Source organism: Homo sapiens, chromosome 6 (assembly GCF_000001405.40).
Source record: "Homo sapiens chromosome 6, GRCh38.p14 Primary Assembly".
Lineage (NCBI taxonomy): Eukaryota > Metazoa > Chordata > Mammalia > Primates > Hominidae > Homo > Homo sapiens.
In genome coordinates this window covers 83,916,049-83,935,228 of record NC_000006.12, presented here as the reverse complement: position 1 = coordinate 83,935,228, position 19,180 = coordinate 83,916,049, and the positions used below count along the sequence as shown (strand labels likewise).

Sequence of the window (19,180 nt, the reverse complement as noted above, 5' to 3'; positions counted from 1 at the left end):
GAAAATGAAAGAAAAAAGAATTCATATTTATACATTTATAGAGCTTCTTATACTGGTAGCACATATAATAAAATCATTTCCAATCATTCACTTATTTTAAATTTTATAGATTCAACTTCATAAATGATACAACCCTAAGTAGCTGCTAAGAGACACCAGTATGAGCTTCTAGTAGTTGTCTTCATGGAGGACTATTTGTGCAGTCTCTCATCTCTTTCCTTTAGGGTTTTGTTAGTAATAAATTACAATGCTGGTGGAATCATCTGTCTAAACTACTGGCAATATCTTTGTTCCATATGATAATGTGGTACAGCTATAGTTCCAACATGTAGGACACGTTGCAGTCACAAACCTACATTCTGACTATCACTAAATCTAGCTGCCTGGAAACATTTATTAATAACTTAAATGGTTGTTTTCTAGAGAGAATAGTACTGATTTTGAACTGCTTATAAAAGAATAAATTGTGTCCCAAAGCCTCTATTCACCTTACCTGTAATAGGTAGCTTGAGGTAAACATGTTGCCCAATGGGCACTTGAAGATGAGTGCTTGGTGGCAGCATCAAACAGAAAAGCCTCGTATCATGAGTAACATCTTCCTTGGAAATTAACTGGCACTTTCTGTAGTACAAACCTAAAAAGTGATTCATTTTCTCTTATTGATACATAAAGTAATAAGAAGTAATACTAAACCACTAAGAGAAAGCATATACTCAGCTTCTGTTTTCTAGAAAGCTTCAATTTCACTAAAATGCCTATACATTTAAAAAATTAATCAATATTTTAAGGTTAATTTTTCCATTTTATTTCCTGAGATATGTGTTGACCAAGACCTGTAAATACTTCTATAACTTGAAAAATGAACTTAATGAGTGTTATTTCCTCATATCTGTTATTATAGCATGTTAAACCATTATGTTATAAAAAATAACCTAATTTTATTTGATAATGAAGAAACTTACATTCTAAAGTCTTTTTTTTTTTTTTAATTTTTTTTTAAAGAGATTGGGTTTCACTATGTTGCCCAGGCTGATGTCGAACTCCTGGACTCAAGCAATCCATCCATCTTGGCTTCCCAAAGTGTTGAGATTATAGGCATGAGCCACGGTACATTCTAAAATCTTTTCTTACACCATGGAAAAGTCCTGAAACTCAAGCCTTTAAGGCTTAACAACAGTAGCACTAGTAAGCAATTTTAGAATATCTCTTTGACAAAGGCAAGAAAGATAGACATTCTTGTGTCTCTATGTTTGTGTGTATGTATTTTATATACATGATTAGAGAACATTTTAACTGTCAAAAATGATTAAAACAAAAACATTTATGCTTAAAGGTGTAGGTTTTGGTATCTGAAAATTAATTCAAGTGAAAAGCTGAAGATGGTAGGAATAGGATTATGGTACTAACATACAAATAGATAAAAGGAATCAAATATTTTTATAAATACTAGAGAAATTTGAAATATCCCAAGCTCAGAAAATATTGTTTGTATACAGAGCAAATAATACCATTTGGATTAGAAGAATTTATTACAGAATTTCTGAAAGAATTAAGATTTTCACTTGTAAATTATCTTTGAACATAAACAGCATATCAGAATAACGTGAAGATATTAACTTTTTATTTCCTCTCTCATAAAATAGTATTTACAGAGATGTAAATGAATAAACCCTGATAATATATTTCTTACTCTATTCTCTTTTTTTTAAGCTAAAAATATTCAAGTAGGTGCAGAAATATTTTCTCCAGATCTTAGAAAGTGAAGGGCCAACAGCTAATAATCAATGCTTAGTAGAAAACTGAAATTCACCTATAATCCTAAGAAATCATTTTAGTCACAAATGAATCCAACTTCCCTTCTCCCTTTTGCTCCCAACAGATCAGTCACTCAATTTTCCACCTATCATGGTAGCAGTAAGTATATAAGCTTAGACTATATCGCTTTATGCAAAGACCTTGGAGTATCACTAGAGGTCACCTCACTCTAGTGCCAGGGCACAGGCTTGGACCAGATTACGGCTAAGAGCCCACCCTAAAGTTATCCCGGAAGGCCTAACAAGCACTGGACTAACCAAAGGGTCAAAGGACATAGGCCCATGCACAAGGAGAAATGAAGGTGCAAATGATCTCTTTATTTCTTTCTCCAGACCCTTTCTGGAACCTACAGTAAGAATACAACTAGAGACCCACATACTATATATGTATAAATATTTAACGTTATAAATCACGCAAATAACTGTCAAAGTATGTTCTATGCTACATCTTGGAATATATACCTTTACAAGGTCCTAGAAGGCTAGGTTCAAATTCGGGATTCTTAAACTCCTCAGTGTATCAGTGAGATGGCAGAGGAATGAGACCTGCACTCTTACTGCCTGTCCCCCTTGTCTTCTCATCCTTGGCTCTGTCTGACAATGAGTAGGGTCTTAAATGGGTGTGGATACATTAACGTAAAGGCTCAAGCTCATGCACTAGCTTTTCACATAAACAGCCCTGGCCACTCCTTGGATAGAAGTAGATTTGGGGTCATTTGGGCAGGGAATCATGGTTCTAGATACAGAGGGTGAAGTTGAAAGAAAGAGGATGAGCTCCAGGTGGATACTTCGTGGCCTTGCAATACTCCTCACCTTGTGGGAGGGGTGTGGCTGGAGACAGTCACGTGGGGCTCTCCAAGTGTGGAACCCAGGGCAGGTGACCCTCTTGCACAGGTCTAAGGACCACAGTGTTGTTTTCTTCTAATAAAATCTAGTGCATATCATCTTGATAACTTTACAGCTGTATGAAAATGCTCACCTTCTGGATTGACAATTTCTACTCTAGCATTTGCTAGAAAAGTTTGCTATAGTAACTATGCAACTCTCCAATGATATTTAAAACACAAGGAAATCCTGGGTTACAGTGATTTACTGACTTTCCTTGTTAGAGAGTTGACACAGCATTCTTGTTATTTAACACTACTGAGATAATTTCAATGTTCTACCCATAGAAGCCTGACTATAATTTCAAAAGAACAGCCTAACTATAGGTTCCAAGGATTTTAAGAAAGATTTAAGAAAGTTTTCATCTTTCAATTGCATCAAGGAGAAAGCACAGACAGATGGGAACTGCAGTATATAAGATAAGAAAAAAGAAGTATACCATCATTCTCAGCAAACTATCACAAGGACAAAAAACTAAACACCGCATGTTCTCACTCATAGGTGGGAACTGAACAATGAGAACACTTGGACACAGGAAGGGGAACATCACACACTAGGGCCTGTTGTGGGGTGAGGGGAGGGGGGAGGGATAGCATTAGGAGATATACCTAATGTAAATGACAAGTTAATGGGTGCAGCACACCAACATGGCACAAGTATACATATGTAACAAACCTGCACATTGTACACATGTACCCTAGAACTTAAAGTATAATAAAAAAAAAATATATATATATATAAACAAAAAAGAAGTATAAAGCAGATGGCACTGACTACTTCAGCCTGCACAATGCCATTATCTAACTGTCCACTTTTTGGCTTTCTAAGCACAGGTAATTATGCTAAAAAATGAGAAACTGAAAATAAAGACAGTAAAACAAAAACATAAGACAGAAACATTACTGCCCCAAATACCTAACTTATTTGAATTAAATACATACAATTAATATTGAGATACTCAGGGTAAGGGTGAAATACTGAGGATAATAAGACTATTTGGGCATACTTTTCTCTTAATGTTAAAAAGAAACTGTATTTTCCCTTTTAAAAAATAGAATTTCACAAGGCCAAAACAGAAAACACAGGTAAAGTCTTCAATGGGAGATAGAAGAGAAAGAGAAGACTGCACTAGGAGTCCACACTGCCTTCAACTGGCTTCTCCTTCTTGCACTTTTGAAGCACTTAGTTACTCTTATTTTCCCTGCTGGAAACAGAAGCTTATAGAAGTTAAAAAGCTTGTCCAACATCTCAGGGCAGCTGGAAAAGATGTGGGATGGAGTAAGACGCTATTAGCGTTTCTTGTCCCAACTCAGTAGGCCTTGTTTTAAAAGTTTGAGAACATGATTAGTAATTATTAGTAGCCAATCACTATAGCCAAGTTGTGGATGCAATGGAAAAGCTCTTGAAGGAAATTAAAAGTCCTACTTCAGTGAGCATATGAATGATCTGATAAGAAAGCGAAATAGGCTTATTGCTGATATGCAGAAAGTCTGAGTGGTCTGGATAGATGAAACCAGCCAGAATACTCTCTTAAGCCAAAAACCTGATCCAGAGCAAGGTCCTACCTCTTCTCAATTCTAGGAGGGCTGAGAGAGGTGAGGAAGCTACAAAAGAAAAGTTGGAAGCTAGAAGTTGGTTTAAGAGGTTTAAGGAAAGAAGCCATCTTCATGACAGATATCTCCATCAGAGTTTTTGGGTGACTGTCAATGAATGATAACAATTTGAAAGGAATCTTTTTTTTTTTTTCACATAGTAAGTCTCAACAGCGGGCTTCAAATATAGAAGTTTCACCATTCTAGATGCCATTAAGAACATTTGAGATTTATGGGAGGCAGTCAAAATAGCAACATTAATAGGAATTTGGAAGGTGATTCCAGTTCTCACAGATGGCTTTGAAGGGTTCAAGACTTCAGTGGAGGAAGTAACTGCAGATGTGGTGGAAATACAGCAAGAGAACTAGAATTAGAAGTGGAGCCTGAAGATTTGACTGAATTGCTGCAATCTCATGATAAAACTTGGAACAGATGAGCAGTTGTTTCTTAGGGATGAGTAAAAAATGTAGGTTCTTGAGATGGAATCTACTCCTGGCAAAGATGCTGTGAAATGTTGCTGAAATGACAACAGAGAATTTAGAATGATACATAAACTTAATTGATAAAACAGCAACAGAGTTTGAGAGGACTGACTTCAATTTTGAAAGCAGTTCTACTGTGAATAAAATGCTATCAGAAAAATCTTTTGTGAAAGAAAGGGTCAATCGATGTGGGCAAACTTCATTTTTTCTTAAGAAATTGCCACAGCTACCCCAAGCTTTAGCAACCACCACCCTAATCAGTCACCAATCATCAGCATCGAGGCAAGACTCTCCACCAGCAAAAAGATTATGATTCACTGAAGACTCAGATGATTGTTAGCATTTTTTAGTAATATACTGTTTTTTAAATTAAAATGTATAAGTTGTTTTTAAGACATAATGCTATTGCATACTTAACAGACTAAAGTATAATGTAAATATAATTTTACATGCACTGGGAAACCAAAAAAATTGTGTGACTTGCTTTATTGTGATACTCTATTGTGGTGGTCTGGAACCCAACCCACAACATCTCCAACATGTGCCTGTAAGTGGCTGTTAACATATCAAAATTGTGAGACAATTTTTTTTTTAAATCTTGTTTCCTAAGACTAATTGACTGGGTTATTTGTTGGCATATCTTTAAAATTACCTTTGTTTGGTGATCCAAGACTCCATATTAAAGACAGTATCAATTAAGATAAAATGCTAATGTTACCTTGGGTATAGAAATAGCAATTCAATTATCTATTGATTTCTGAACCCTAATAGAGAAGTTCCTCAGCCATCTCTTTCTCTATAGCTTTCTCTCCCCCTGCCTCTTTCTCCCACACACCCCCCAGAGCTACTCACTCATAATCTTCATTTCCGGGAAGAAAAAAATTAATTGGAAGCATCACACTTATAAATCATATTGGTTCAATTCATACAATTTAAAATACTGACCTACTACATTTGGATGGAAGGTAAAAAATGAAAGTTTCTCTTCTCTGATTGATGTTCTTTCTGATATATGAATCCTTCAGGTAAGTATATTCTAGATTTGACATGTGAAAACATTATATTAAAAGTTTTTCAACTTATACACTTGTTTTCAAACAAGTTCTTTTAGCTAAGAAACTAGTAAGATGGAGCCAGCATACTATTATCATAAAGTCAATAATTACAGCAATACATATTGAAAATCTAGGAACCACATAATTGGCTGTAAATCTTTAAGGCTACTCAAAGCAAGTTAATTATAATACTTTGCTGATGTAAGCATTCGGCTTTGCTAGTGAATAAAATAACCTAGTTTTTGTCATGAGTTAAGGAGGAGAAAAGAGAAAGATGAAATTATCTTTGCTAATGCAGTGAAATAAACAAAAATATCTCCTAAACTCCAAGTCATTTTCCAAAGTGGAAAACCTTCACTGAAAAACACATTATAGCTCCCATTTCAAACAAGAAAGCTAAACCTTTCTTTTTTAATGGTGTTTCAGGATTCAAGGAAAAATTTACAGCAGAAATAAAAGAATTCATGGAAAGCCTCAAGAAATTACAGAGAATATCTGAATGATGTCGTTCTAACTAGTATTTCCAAATGGAGGTCAGCCCAGGTTCTCAGTATCATTTATTTCTTGGACTTGGCTTTTACCTAGTTTGCTATGATTTTTCAGTCACTAGATAAGTCAGATAATTTCAGGGAAAGAGACTTCACTCTAAAAATACCTTTTCATTTCCATTGTCCCTTTTCTATTGTTTTCTGATCTGCTATATCACACTATCATTTCTCTATGACCAAAAAATTCAGACTTCTTGCTCTGGTAAAATTAACCCATTTGAACTTTCCTATATATGCCACTTACATTTTTCTCTCTCTACACCCAGCAAAATGCTTGGCACAATATGCAACCAGTAATGATCTGTAGCTCCACCTGGAAAGTCCCATATAGTTTTTGTTTTGTTTTTTTTTTCTGAAAGCCATGGACCTCACTTTGAAAATACTGCTTCAAATTCACTTCCTTGAGGCAGTCATTCAAGACCAAATTCATCTGTGTCTATTCACTTGGGGCCACCACAAAACATGTTTAGTTTGTACTGTATAACTTGTCCTTGTCGGCCTGTTTCCTTATAAAAGTATTCTTCAATTTCATGTTTGCTTATTTTCTATCTTCCACCTGGGAAACTAAATTTCCCATACTCTGTTTCATTCCAGTGCCTGAAACAGTCTCCTACACACAAGGTGTACTCAAAATAAGGCTGCCTCATACTTTTCTGAAAATTATCTACAAATATATTTTCGTAATTGTGAATTAAAAAGAAATACTTATTGGTCTGTGTCCCTGGTTCCTGACATAGAACTCCTAAAATCCTTGTAAAAAGACACTAAAAGAATCTTCTATTCTAATATTTGGTCTTTAACCCTGGTTCCTGACATTGAGCTCCTAAAACTTTCTGTAATCTCCTAAGTACTACAAGTGTCTTAAACAGAATTCCTAAATCCCTGAAATTTCCTGGGTGATAGGAGCATCTTTTGTTCTAATGGGGAGAATCCTGGTGGGCTCCTGGATAGCCTCAAGATGGGACCTGTCTGCCTGGGAAACCAACCATGTGATTAAAGGATTGGAACCAGCAGGCCCCTTCCTAGACCTCTGAGGACAGGACAGGCTGAAAGTTGAGCTGCTCACCAATGGTCACTGACATAATCAATCACACCTACGTAATAAAGCCCCCATAAAAACCCAAAACGACATGGTTTGAAGAGCTTGTGGAAAGCTGAACACATGAAAATGTTTGGAGGGTGATGCAATCACTGAGGTCATGGAAGCTCTGTGCCCCTTTTCACATATTTTCCCTATGTATTCCTTCCATCCAGCTATTTATCTGTATCCTTTGTAATATCCTTTATAGTAAAATGATAAACTTAAATGTATCCCTGAGTTTTGTGAGCCATCCTAGCAAATTTTTGAACCCAAGAAGGAGGCTGTGATAACACTGATTTATAGGTAGCTGGTCAGAAGATAGATCACAACCTGGAATTTGCAACTGGCATGTGAAGTAGGGGGCAGTCTTGTGGGACTAAGCCCTTAACCTGTGGGGTCTGCCCTAAACTCCAGGATGTATCAGACTTGAGTTAAATTGTAGGATAGACAGTTTGCTGTAGAATTGGTTGTTGGTGAGAAGAAATCTCACATTTTAGTGTTCTGAGTGGAGCGGTAAGACTAGGAAAAAGTTTGTTTTTTCCTATCTCATGCAATAAATTATATATGATAATTTTACATATTTAAAGAAGATAAACTGAATACATGCAGTTAGTTCCTTCTGAATCCCCTAAAATAACAACAAAGAGGGTTTTTGTATGTGTGTTTGATTTTTAAGGCATAAGCCCACACAGACAGGAAGAACGGAAATCAGAGACAAAAGCAACAAAACTTTAGGAGCTGACAAGGCAGAGAGAAGACTGGTAAATGACTCAACAGACCCAAGACAGATGAATGCTAAGCCAGAAGTGTAGAAAGCCAAGAACCAACATGCTTATAATACAAAATTCCTTTAAGGCCCAGAAACTGGCAGGACCAAGTACCTCTGGCATCAGAGTCAAGGTAGAATTAAAATTACTTTCTCAATACAAGTTCATTTAAGAAGCTTGGATAGGTCTTCCCATCCCCTTGAAGTCCTCCCCTACTTAGCACAGCCACATGACTGACACTTCCCCACATGAGCAAAATATAAGAAGTTTGCACTCTAGAGGGTAAACAAGGGGTCTTTGGATTGGGTCTATGCTATAGACTGAATTGTGTCCCCTCACCAAACACATATGTTGAAGTCATAACCCCCAACACTTCAGAATGTGACGACATTTGGAAATGGGGTCTTCATTTAAAAGGTAATTAAGTTGGCTCTAATTCATTGTGACTGGTATTTTTATAAAGAGGACATTAGGACACAGACACACAGAAGGAAGACCATCTAAAGAAACAGGAAAAAAGGAGGCCATCTACAAGCTAAGGGAAGAAGTCTCAGAAGAGACCGACTCTGCCAAAGACACTCAGTCTGTAGTAGTTTGTTACTGCAGTCCTAGCAAACTAATATAACATTCTAAGAAAAAAAAAAAAAGAAAGAAAAAATTAAGTGACGCTTACAGATATACCAGAAGCTAGGCCCAGCCTTCTTCCCCACATGGCTTCTGAAATGCTGGGTACAAGGTAGGAGATTGTTCACTCTAGGGACTCTTGGCATTGGACTTTTCCCAAAGAAATGTTCCAGCCATATAGTGAATATAACCGTTGACAAGCCACACCCACATGCACAGTTTCCAATTAGCTTTACAGTCCCACCCTGAAATATGAGCAGATAGTAAAAGATTAGGAAACATTCAAAGAAAGCATTTAATATTAAAGACACCATAACAAATGAAAAACAACAAACCTGAGGGACACAGAAGTTATACAGTGAGAAGAAAACATTACCAGTCATTCTTTAAAAGATAAGCTAATAAGAATAGGATGCTAAAACAAAGGAAAAGAAATCAAAGGATTTATAGAAGTTAAAAATATGAGTAGAAATGAGTAACTCAATAGAAGAGCTAGAAGACACAGCTGAAGACATCTTGCAGAAAGTAGAACAAAAGGACAAAACTGAAAATAAGAGAGAAAAGATAAGATAATTAGAAGAACAGTTAAGGAAGTTCAATATGTAGAAAGTAAAACAGACCATGGGGAGAAGAAAAACCAATAATAGTTTCCAAGAACTGAAGATCATTAAGTTTCCATATTGAAAAGATTAGCACAAAAAATGTATACCCAGCATGAAGGATGAAAAATCATCCATGTTCTGGCACATCATTGTGAAATTCCAAAACACTTAGAACAAGGAGCAAATACTACCAATTTCCAAAGAGAAAATACAGGATATGTTCATTTTGCAAAGTATCATCAAGTAGAGCACTTCTAATATGCACCCTTTTCTATATATATGTTAAACTTAGATAAAAAGCTTTTTAAAAATGAAAAGAAATGAATGGTATCATCTTTTAGAAAAGATATGGTTTGGATCTGTGTCCCCTTCCAAATCTTAGGTTGAATTGTAATCCCCAGTGTTGGAGGTAGGGCCTAGTTGGAGTTGACTGGAGCATGGGGGCGGATCCTTCATGAATGGTTTAGGACCACCCTCTTGGTGGTGTTCTCGTGACAGAGTTCACACAAGATCTGGTTGTTTAAAAGTGTGTAGCACCTCCCCCATCTCTCTCCTCCTCCTTCTCCAGCCATGTAAGATGTGCCTGTTTTCCATTCACCTTCTGCTATGATTGTAAGTTTCCTGAGTCCTCCCCAGAAACCAAGCAAATGCCAGGACCATGCTTCCTATACAGCCTGTGGAACTGTGAGCCAATTAACCTTTTTTCTTTATAAATTATCCAGTCTCAGGCATTTCTTTATAGCCATGTGAGAAGAGACTAATACAAGAAGTAAACTGAGAAACCAGTTTAATTAAGAAGAAAAATAGTAAACATGTCTTCCTCATTAGGAAAAATATCAAGCAGACATACAAAGCATAAACTTAAACTTGTTTTTGTATCTTTCACAAAAGGGGACCTGAAAGAGAAAATGGTTGATCAACAGTCTAAGCACAAGTGGGCTTCTTCATTCAGGTATCATTACGTAATGACTTTGCTATGCCTAAACATTAGATAGTAGAGTCTGAAATTTAACTTCTATGGGAAAAAAAAGCAGGACAACACACATTGTCCCTTTCAAACTTCCTAGCAGTAGATACAAGGACCCTTCAGCTCATTTCAAAGCAGCCTTCCAAACTCTGGTACAACTGTACAACTAACAACAATTTCATGAATGTGAAATTAACGTAACAAAAGAACACAGCATACCTGTATCTTTCCTTGGAATAAGTGAATTATGATTCTTCAGGGGATGGCCAAGAAAGTCCCAAGAAGTATTCTCTTTTTTTTGTAGAACAATCTCTATTTTTCCCACACTCTCAACAACCCGCACTGAAAAGAAGATAAATTCCATTTGTGTTCATCGATACTAAATACAAGATTTTATTTTAAAACCAGTATTTCTCAAATAGTACAAGTGTCCTGATCTAATATGAATGGTACTGATTATTAGTGGGATAAATAAGATTTTGCTTACATATTCAATCACAATCATAATTGTTTATCCTTATATGCTTTATTTTATTAATAGATTCAGATTAAGTTCTTTCAAACTAATTTATTAAGGGCCAAACTACTATGTGTTGCTGGTTTTCAAACAAGCTCAAATATAGCCATGGCAACTAATTGACATAAAGCTAACAAAAAAAAAAAAAAAAAGGTTGAGATGTACAAATTAGCATCGAATGCCCCCACAAAAGCAAATTTAATTCTTTTTTTTTTTTTTTTTTTTGAGACGGAGTCTTGCTCTGTCACCCAGGCTGGAGGGCAGTGGCGTGATCTTGGCTCACTGCAAGCTCCGCCTCCCGGGTTCACGCCATTCTCCTGCCTCAGCCTCCTGAGTAGCTGGGACTACAGGCGCCCACCACCACGCCCGGCTAATTTTTTTTTTTTTATTTTTAGTAGAGATGGGGTTTCACTGTGTTAGCCAGGATGGTCTCGATCTCCTGACCTCGAGATCCGCCCATGTCAGCCTCTAATTTGTTTCGTTAACATTCCTTAGAATCTGAAGGATTCTGATGACTAAATTCAGTAGACTAATACTGAGCCTACTAAACACAAGAAGAGCCTCATGAGAATGAGTTCCTAGTCAATAGAGTAAATTGATAAAGTGCATGTGAATCTTTGATAAAAATATTTTAGATTACCTTTTTATTTATTGAATAATTAAAATGTTTACAATATATGGGTAAAATAATAAAATATGTGCTTTCATATGCTGATTTAAATTTTATGAATTGAACATGCTTTTAAAGATTTAAAGCATATTTAATTTTTCTTCAGAAACAATGTTCTGCTCTCCCCTATAGTGAACACAACACCCAGTAACAATTTAACTTTTAAAGATAGATGAGTCAAATGAATTCAATTCAATGAGCACTGATTTGAAGCTTAACCAAAATAAAACCATGGTCTTTGTCTTTAAAGAGCCTGATTTATACAATTTACAGAGCCTATAATGATATACGGAAAAGAGGAAACATTGGACCAGTGTAAGGTACCATGACAGTACTTGAAAACAAGAATATACCATTCTATGATGAGTCTTCTATTATTAAATAGCTGTGTAAAACCTACGCTGCATGTTTATATGCAGCAACATTCATAATTTAGTATGCTCTCTCAACATTAAACATTTAAATATATAGATGAAAGAAAAATTTGTCTAACATAGTATATTTCTATAAGCTGCATGTCAGGAGTAGGGCAGATACGAGGAATGAAGAATAAAAAGGAGACAGATTTTTTTTTTTTTAAGGAGAAAAAAAAGAAAGGTTAAAGAGAGAAAAAAAATAAGGGGGGCCAGTCGGGGCCACATGTGAAACCCCGTCTCTACAAAAAAAAATTAGCCAGGTGTGGTGGTGTGTGTACTGTGATCTCAACTACTCAGGAGGCTGAGACGGGAGGATCACTTCAGCCTGAGAGGCAGAGGTTGCAGTGAACCAAGATCACACTGCTGCAGTCCAACCTGGGTGACAGAGTGAGACCCCATCTCACACACAAAAAAGGAATAAGGGGAAGAAAAAATAGGAAAAAACCCAAAACCAGAGGGAGGGGTATATTTAAAAATTAATGTATTTGTTTGTATCTGTACAACAAACCCCCATGACACACATTTACCTATGTAACAAACGTGCACATCTTGCACATGTATCCCAGAACTTAAAAGTTTAAAAAAAAAAGAGAAAACATCACATCTTTGTTTTGCAATGTGAAAATATAGACATGAAAAATAAAACAAATGCTAATTTTTCAATTTTTTCGTATCTCTCTCTCTGTAGGTATGTGTATATGTACGTACATACATAATTTTTGGTTTTTGGTAGCTTACCAGAAAAATCTTCCTGAACCTCATGGCTTAGCCCTAGGACAGACAAATTTATTTAGTTAAAATAGAACTTCAATTCATACAGTTTTTGAACACCATATGTCATTTAAATGGCTCTTTTATGTACTATTTCAAATCCCTCAAGACAAAACGTGTTCTGAAAGACCAAAACAATTTTACACAATCAAAATAAAGAATCAAATCATTTAAATACATACATTTTCAATTGTTTCATTTTTCTCCCTTTTAACTAAAGAGCAAATACTCAATTGCCCATAAATGGGTAACCCACGCTAGTCCAAGCATGGATGGTTCCAGACTGGGAATCCTACAAACCAAGAGAGGAGCAGGCTACGGAGAGGCAGCACCTGAAGCACGCAAGCCCCAGTGTGTGAGTGTGTGTGTATGTATGTGAACAGAGGCCAGGTCTGGGTCTAGCTTACCTTTTCTTATTGTTCTCCAAAGTTGACTATCCATTCAGTTATTGAAAAAAAATTTTATTGAGCGTCTATGTGTGACAGGTATTTTCTAGGTATTATGGACACAACAGTTAATAAGACAGAAACATTTCTGCCCCTATGGAACTTATATTCCAGAAGTGGGGGATGCAAGAAATACGCTTACAAATGTCTGCTGTAAATTTCACTGTGTTCATATGGTTATCTGGAATTTACAATTTTGTATGATTTCAGTCATTCCAATGCAATATTGGCAACCAAGAGTTTCATATTTTTAACTGTGGAATTTTTAGTTTTTTAAAATATGTATGCTAGTGTAGGGTTCCCTGGTTTCTACCACTTTTTTCTCTGTCCTGATAAAAAAATACAAAGTTGGTCTTTAGCCACGAAGGGACTGACAGCTGGAGGATACAATACAAATTTGTAGTCCAGGCTGCTTTGCTGCAGCCACTGACTTCCTATGGCAGAACTGGCAAGGAACAGACCAGTGGAATGGGCCACCTAGCGAAGGACAGTCAGTAAGACATGTGACCAATGGGCCTTGGAAGACTTCTTGTAGGTGTCAGGCACGAGAGATTTTACACAACTGGGCCAACAAGTATTTTATATTATTGATTTTGATTGCATCTAATTGCTTAAACTTCGAAAGGTGAGGTCACACCGCCACTTGCTAGTACTTTTATTAGTGTAAAGAAATTACAGGAAAAAAACTGATCAAAAATGACAAACCAAAATGGTAACAGCAGATAAAATATTACAGTTACCTAGACTGTAGACCAAGTTATTGCCATATTTAAAGAAAACCAGAGCTCTTTCCATTAATAATAATAAAGTACTCACCAATATGTATAAGATATAAACAATCCTTAATAATTGTTTCTGCTCTAAAGGAATCATTCTGATGATCAACTATTATTGAGTCTAAATTGATATCCTTAAAGAGAAAGCAAAAATAGAAAGATTAGAAAGTAAAATTTTCCCCCAAACTTCTACAACTATACTTTTAAGGTGATCTGCGGTACTTCATACGGTGCTTCTTTATTGAACCTCCAAGCTAAACAAATGTGACTTCTGTTTTTCTCTTACAACCCAGTTCTTCTCCTTCAATTGACACACCAAATTTTAATTACTACATATTTGTCTCTGTTTAATATCTACCTTATCCACTAATCTCTAAGCTCTAAGGTTAAGGGACTATCTTTAGAACACTGTTTGGCACCTAGTAGGTGTTCAATAAATATTTTTTGAATAAGCCATATGGAACCCTCCCCCCACCCCCCAGAAAATTACAATCAGCAGAAACCAAGATATTTGTTGTTCATCTTTATCTTTCCTGTAATGTATGATCCTGGGCAAATTACATAACCTCTTGACCTTAGCTTATAAAAAAAATCAATTCACTAACATATTTTTAGATGTCTCTAACTTCTACATAGCCTTGGTGTAAGATATATATTATTTATATTATTCAATGAATACATTATTCCACATGGAAACCTTTCCTTTTCCCTTAGCCATCCATCCTCTGTGTTCCATTGATATTACCAGTGCAAGTGGACCTCCCTAGAGCCTGTGCTCTGGGTTTTGAACTGTGTGATGAAGAGACAATATCAAGAGGGAGTGGAAAACAGGATAAGTAGTGCCTCTGGCCATCTTGGCTCTTTCCAAGCAGAGGCTGGTCACTCCTGCAGAATGACCAAATCATGCTGCAAGAATGAGAGGAACCCACTGGTTCAGACATGGTTCTGCTACTATAGAAGTAGCATAAATTCTCAAAAATTCCTAGCTGCCAGAGCTTGTCTTTAAATCTACATATCCCTCAAAGTGTGGGAACCTCAACAGTTGCTGGAGGATGTGCTTGGAGATATTTTAAATTGTCTGCATATTTATCTGATTTTCCAGCTGGACTGTAAGCCTTTTGAAAGTCAGGTCTCTACGTATCTGACCTATTAGATCCCTGATCTCTAAGGCTGTGTTCTACATGAAGCAGGTTATAAATACTTAGTGAATGAACTACCTCCCTAACTTTAGTTTTGATGGTTACTGAATTACCTCCCTAACTTCAGTTTCAAATGGGCATCTGAACACCATTAGTGGTTTAAACATACTAAGCCACAGCCACAGCGAAATACCTTCTCCAATCCTAGTTTATGTCTAGGAAATTTGTTCTTATGGTGATGTTAACTGAGATTCATTTTTTGTTATCCATGCTTTACACACACACACACACACACACACACACACACACACACACAGAAAAACACATAAAATACTTCCTACTCTGATTTTTAAGAGGCTATAGGAATGGCTGTTAAGAGCAGATGTTCTGGAACCAGACTGCCTGAGTTCCAAATGCCAGATCTGCCACTCAGTGTGTAACTTTGGGTGAATTACTTAATCTTTTCTTTGTTTCCTCTTCTGTACAAAAGGGATAACAATACTATCTACCTCAAAGAATTATAGTGAGAAGTAAATAATATAAAAAAGTGTTTAGAAAAAGACCTGGTACATAAATTAACATTTATTATTTTCTTCTTTTCTGATTTTAAAGACATATTTACCTTCTGTTTAGTATATATGGCAATGGTGACTAAAGAGTCTGTTTGGAACCAATCATAGCTGTAAAATATAAATAAAAGGATGAATAATTATATTGACAATCATGTGCATTCACATATATTAATCATTAAATGTTTAAAATTTATAATGAGACATATCTGTATTTCTCTAGGTTAAGCTTTTTTTCTAAATAAACTGGTCTTACCATGTTACATTCTTCATTATACAGCTGACAACTATTTCTAAATTTAAAATATCTAGACTTCCATGTATTCCCACTTGAGTAAAAACAAAATATCCTCAACAAGACCCTTTTTATAGAGCCTATACATCTCTTTACTAAAATCTTCTTTTATCAGAGCAAAACCAAAACAACATATTTTGTTAAAGAGCATGAAAAAATGCACATGTTTATTATCTTCATTCCTCCCTGTCACAAATATATTAGTAGTGAAGAAATGAACTCATCAAGGTTGTTTAATGGGTCCATAGTGAAACTTAAAGTGAAACTAAGTCTTCTGTTTTGTTACAGCTATTGATCAAATTGATACTCTTTTTGCACTTATCACCTATATAGTCTAATTTACAGAGGGCATCCTTAGTCCCTAACTTAAAATTGTATATGAAATAATTTAACAAATATAGCAGGATGCTGATATTAGAATAATATAGACTGGTGGTAGAGAGAAAAGGGGTAAAAGAAAAAACTACAGAGAACACACCTGAAGGCATTTTAAGTGTCATTAACGAAATATATATGTATTGCTTAAGTTACTGTTAACTGTTAAAGACAACTATTGGGCAATATATTTTGAAGAATTCTCATTAAAAATTGATAAAAATGAACTAGATATAAAAAATAGAATATTTAAATACATTATGGCATGGTCATATGATGGAATGCAGAGAAAAATGCTTTCGCAGAATATTTAACAGCATAGAAAAATGCTCATATACTGTCATACCAATATTATAAAAATAGAATAATATGGAAGTAGGTATTATATTAATCTAACTGGAAAATATAAATAATAGTATACATCTAAGGATGGTGAGATTACAACTGATTTTATCACTTTCTTTTGTATTTCTCTATTTTCTAAGTTTTCTACCATTAATGTATTTTTTTATAATCAGAAAAATATTTTAGAATAGTTTTTTAAAGTATTGGTGTTTAAAATGGATCAAACTTCAGTTATATTTAAAATTCACATTTATGGAACAGCTCATTCTCCAACAACATCTAATAAATGAGGCATTACAGTTCTTGTGTCAAAGAGCATGACTAACAGTAAGCAATAAATCAAACCCAGAGCTACTTTATTTTTTAAATGTGTACATTTTTGTACATAATTGATTTAACTTTAAAAATTTTAAATAAGAATGCATACCTTGGATAACTAGGACCTTCTTTGGCAAGTGTATCTGTCACTTGGCTCTTGGGAAGCATGCCTTTACAAAGAAAGATAGCTATAGTTCATCTACAAAGTATTTTTAACTTTTTGTCTTTTAAGTTAACTTCTTAGTGAAATATCACATATATTCATAAAAGGATACAAATCACAAATGTACTACTCAATATATTTTCACTTGATCTTAGCCAAAAGGCCGTGATAAAGTGAAACATACATACCCTTGCAGTCAGCACTCTCTTCATGCCCCCTTTTCAATCACCACCCCTGCCTCAAGAGTAACATGTATTCTGACTACTAACACCATGGTTAGTATTTGCCTGTGTTTGAACTTTATATAAGTAGAATGATAACACATGTTCTCTTTTAGTCTGGCTTTTTGTCCAATATTCTAGACATTACAGTTCTTATGTGAAATAAGCATGATAAATAATAAGCAATAAATCAAATCTAGGCTTTCTGAAATTTTATCCATGCTACTGAATTCATCAGCTTGGTCCTTTTTGTAACTGAGCAGTATTACTTTATATGTATAGTTCACAATTTATTCATTCTCCTGTTGATGAACATTCAGGTTGTTTCCAGTTTGGAGTTATTATACACAGTGTTGATATAAATATTCTTTTACAGGTACATGCATATTCTTAAAGAACACATATCTACATTTTTGGTTAGTATGAAGGGTGTTTGTATGTTTAGCTTTAGAAGATACTACTGAATGGCTTTTCAAAGTGGTTGTACCAATTTACACTTTTTACCACAGTAAAAAGTGTTTGAAAGTTCCAGCTGCTCCACAACCTCACCAACATGTGGTCTTCTGTCTTTTCCCATTTTACTCACTCTTGTGGGTATGCATTCTTGTGGGTATGTACACCCACAAAATGCATCTTGGGTGTATGATGCATTTTAAAAGCCCACTAATGCTATGGTTTTTAAATGACTTCAGAAAACTCTGAGGCATGGAAGAACTCAAGATATTGCAAACATTAAGTGTTTCCCCCCTACAATAGAAGTGCATTGTTTGTATATGGTAAGATTTAGTTTGGAAAAAAGAAGTACTGCTGCTACATGACTTTTGAAAATCATTGCATCAATTATATTACTATTTTTCAAACTATACAGGAACAAAAATTAATGGTTAGTATCTGCTGAGTCTTGGGTGCCCAAATTAGAAATCAAAGTATTTGATATAAATTTAAGAGTTGCAAGACACCTTTGGGACAAGACAGTTTAGAGGTTTTCAAGATTCTTTTTAGACACAAACGTTTTGTTTCAAGACAAGCTCAAGTGCAAGTAAGATGTAAAACAGTCATATTTTTCTGAATGGGCTGATGGTGAGCCCTGAGTCCAGGCCTTACTCATTCAGCTTCCATTTCTTCCCACATAACTCTGCAGAACACTATTTTCAAATAAACAAAGGAAGCCTCAGAGATGTGACAACAAGGTCAGAGTTGTGAACTAATAATTAGCAGTGGGCACTAAAAGAAGAGTGCTCTACTACAAAACTACACGTAAAACAAGAGAGGACTACAAGAATTAAATGTATTTTTTCTAATATGGTAAAAGCAAGACAAAATAATCTTATTAAATTAAGAAGCACTGAAAGATTTCAGAGATTAATGTTGTTTCTCTTTTGGAAGTCTCTTAAGTATATAAATAAAAATCAAATGCATCAAAATCTAAGAATTTCTGTAAGAAAACGCTATAAACAGAATTGATAAATTGTAAGTCAACATTGATCTTGTATGACCTAATTAGGACCAGAAAATCTATACTTAAGCTCGGTGCCAGTACTGTGATTTTATGCAAGCCACTGTTTCCTCTTCCTCAAATTGGAACTATTAATAGCAATGAAATGGTCCCTGCAATCTCATGGGTGAGCAAATGAGACAATAATCAAACATTCTAAAAAACTATTTAGTATAATTAAGATATATCTTATTAAAACAGAATAATAAGCCATGGAATATATCTTAATTTAAAACTAACTAAAAAC

The 19,180-nt window shown here is 35.2% G+C and overlaps 2 protein-coding genes across 5 annotated transcripts in view; both read right to left on the bottom strand.

Annotated features, from left to right (window-relative positions):
* RIPPLY2-CYB5R4 (RIPPLY2-CYB5R4 readthrough) overlaps positions 1-19,180 on the bottom strand; it is a 114,064-nt gene that overhangs the window by 32,195 nt on the left and 62,689 nt on the right. For 3 of the 4 annotated variants that reach the window (NR_174604.1, NR_174605.1, NM_001400774.1), the window contains 6 exons: positions 17,164-17,224; positions 15,775-15,832; positions 14,054-14,147; positions 12,759-12,791; positions 10,637-10,759; positions 494-634 (listed from right to left, as the gene is read on the bottom strand). Coding sequence is in view for 1 of the 4 variants with exons in the window: in NM_001400774.1 (NP_001387703.1) it covers positions 494-634; positions 10,637-10,759; positions 12,759-12,791; positions 14,054-14,147; positions 15,775-15,832; positions 17,164-17,224 (510 nt within the window). In the remaining 3 variants the exon portion in view is untranslated. Of the gene's footprint in view, positions 1-493; positions 635-8,897; positions 9,094-10,636; positions 10,760-12,758; positions 12,792-14,053; positions 14,148-15,774; positions 15,833-17,163; positions 17,225-19,180 lie in introns of all 4 variants that reach the window. The other variant, NR_174603.1, reaches the window with a different exon arrangement.
* CYB5R4 (cytochrome b5 reductase 4) overlaps positions 1-19,180 on the bottom strand; it is a 107,735-nt gene that overhangs the window by 32,195 nt on the left and 56,360 nt on the right. The window contains exons 6-11 of the mRNA NM_016230.4: positions 17,164-17,224; positions 15,775-15,832; positions 14,054-14,147; positions 12,759-12,791; positions 10,637-10,759; positions 494-634 (exon numbers count right to left, since the gene is read on the bottom strand). Of these exons, the coding sequence (NP_057314.2) occupies positions 494-634; positions 10,637-10,759; positions 12,759-12,791; positions 14,054-14,147; positions 15,775-15,832; positions 17,164-17,224 (510 nt within the window). The remainder of the gene's footprint in view (positions 1-493; positions 635-10,636; positions 10,760-12,758; positions 12,792-14,053; positions 14,148-15,774; positions 15,833-17,163; positions 17,225-19,180) is intronic.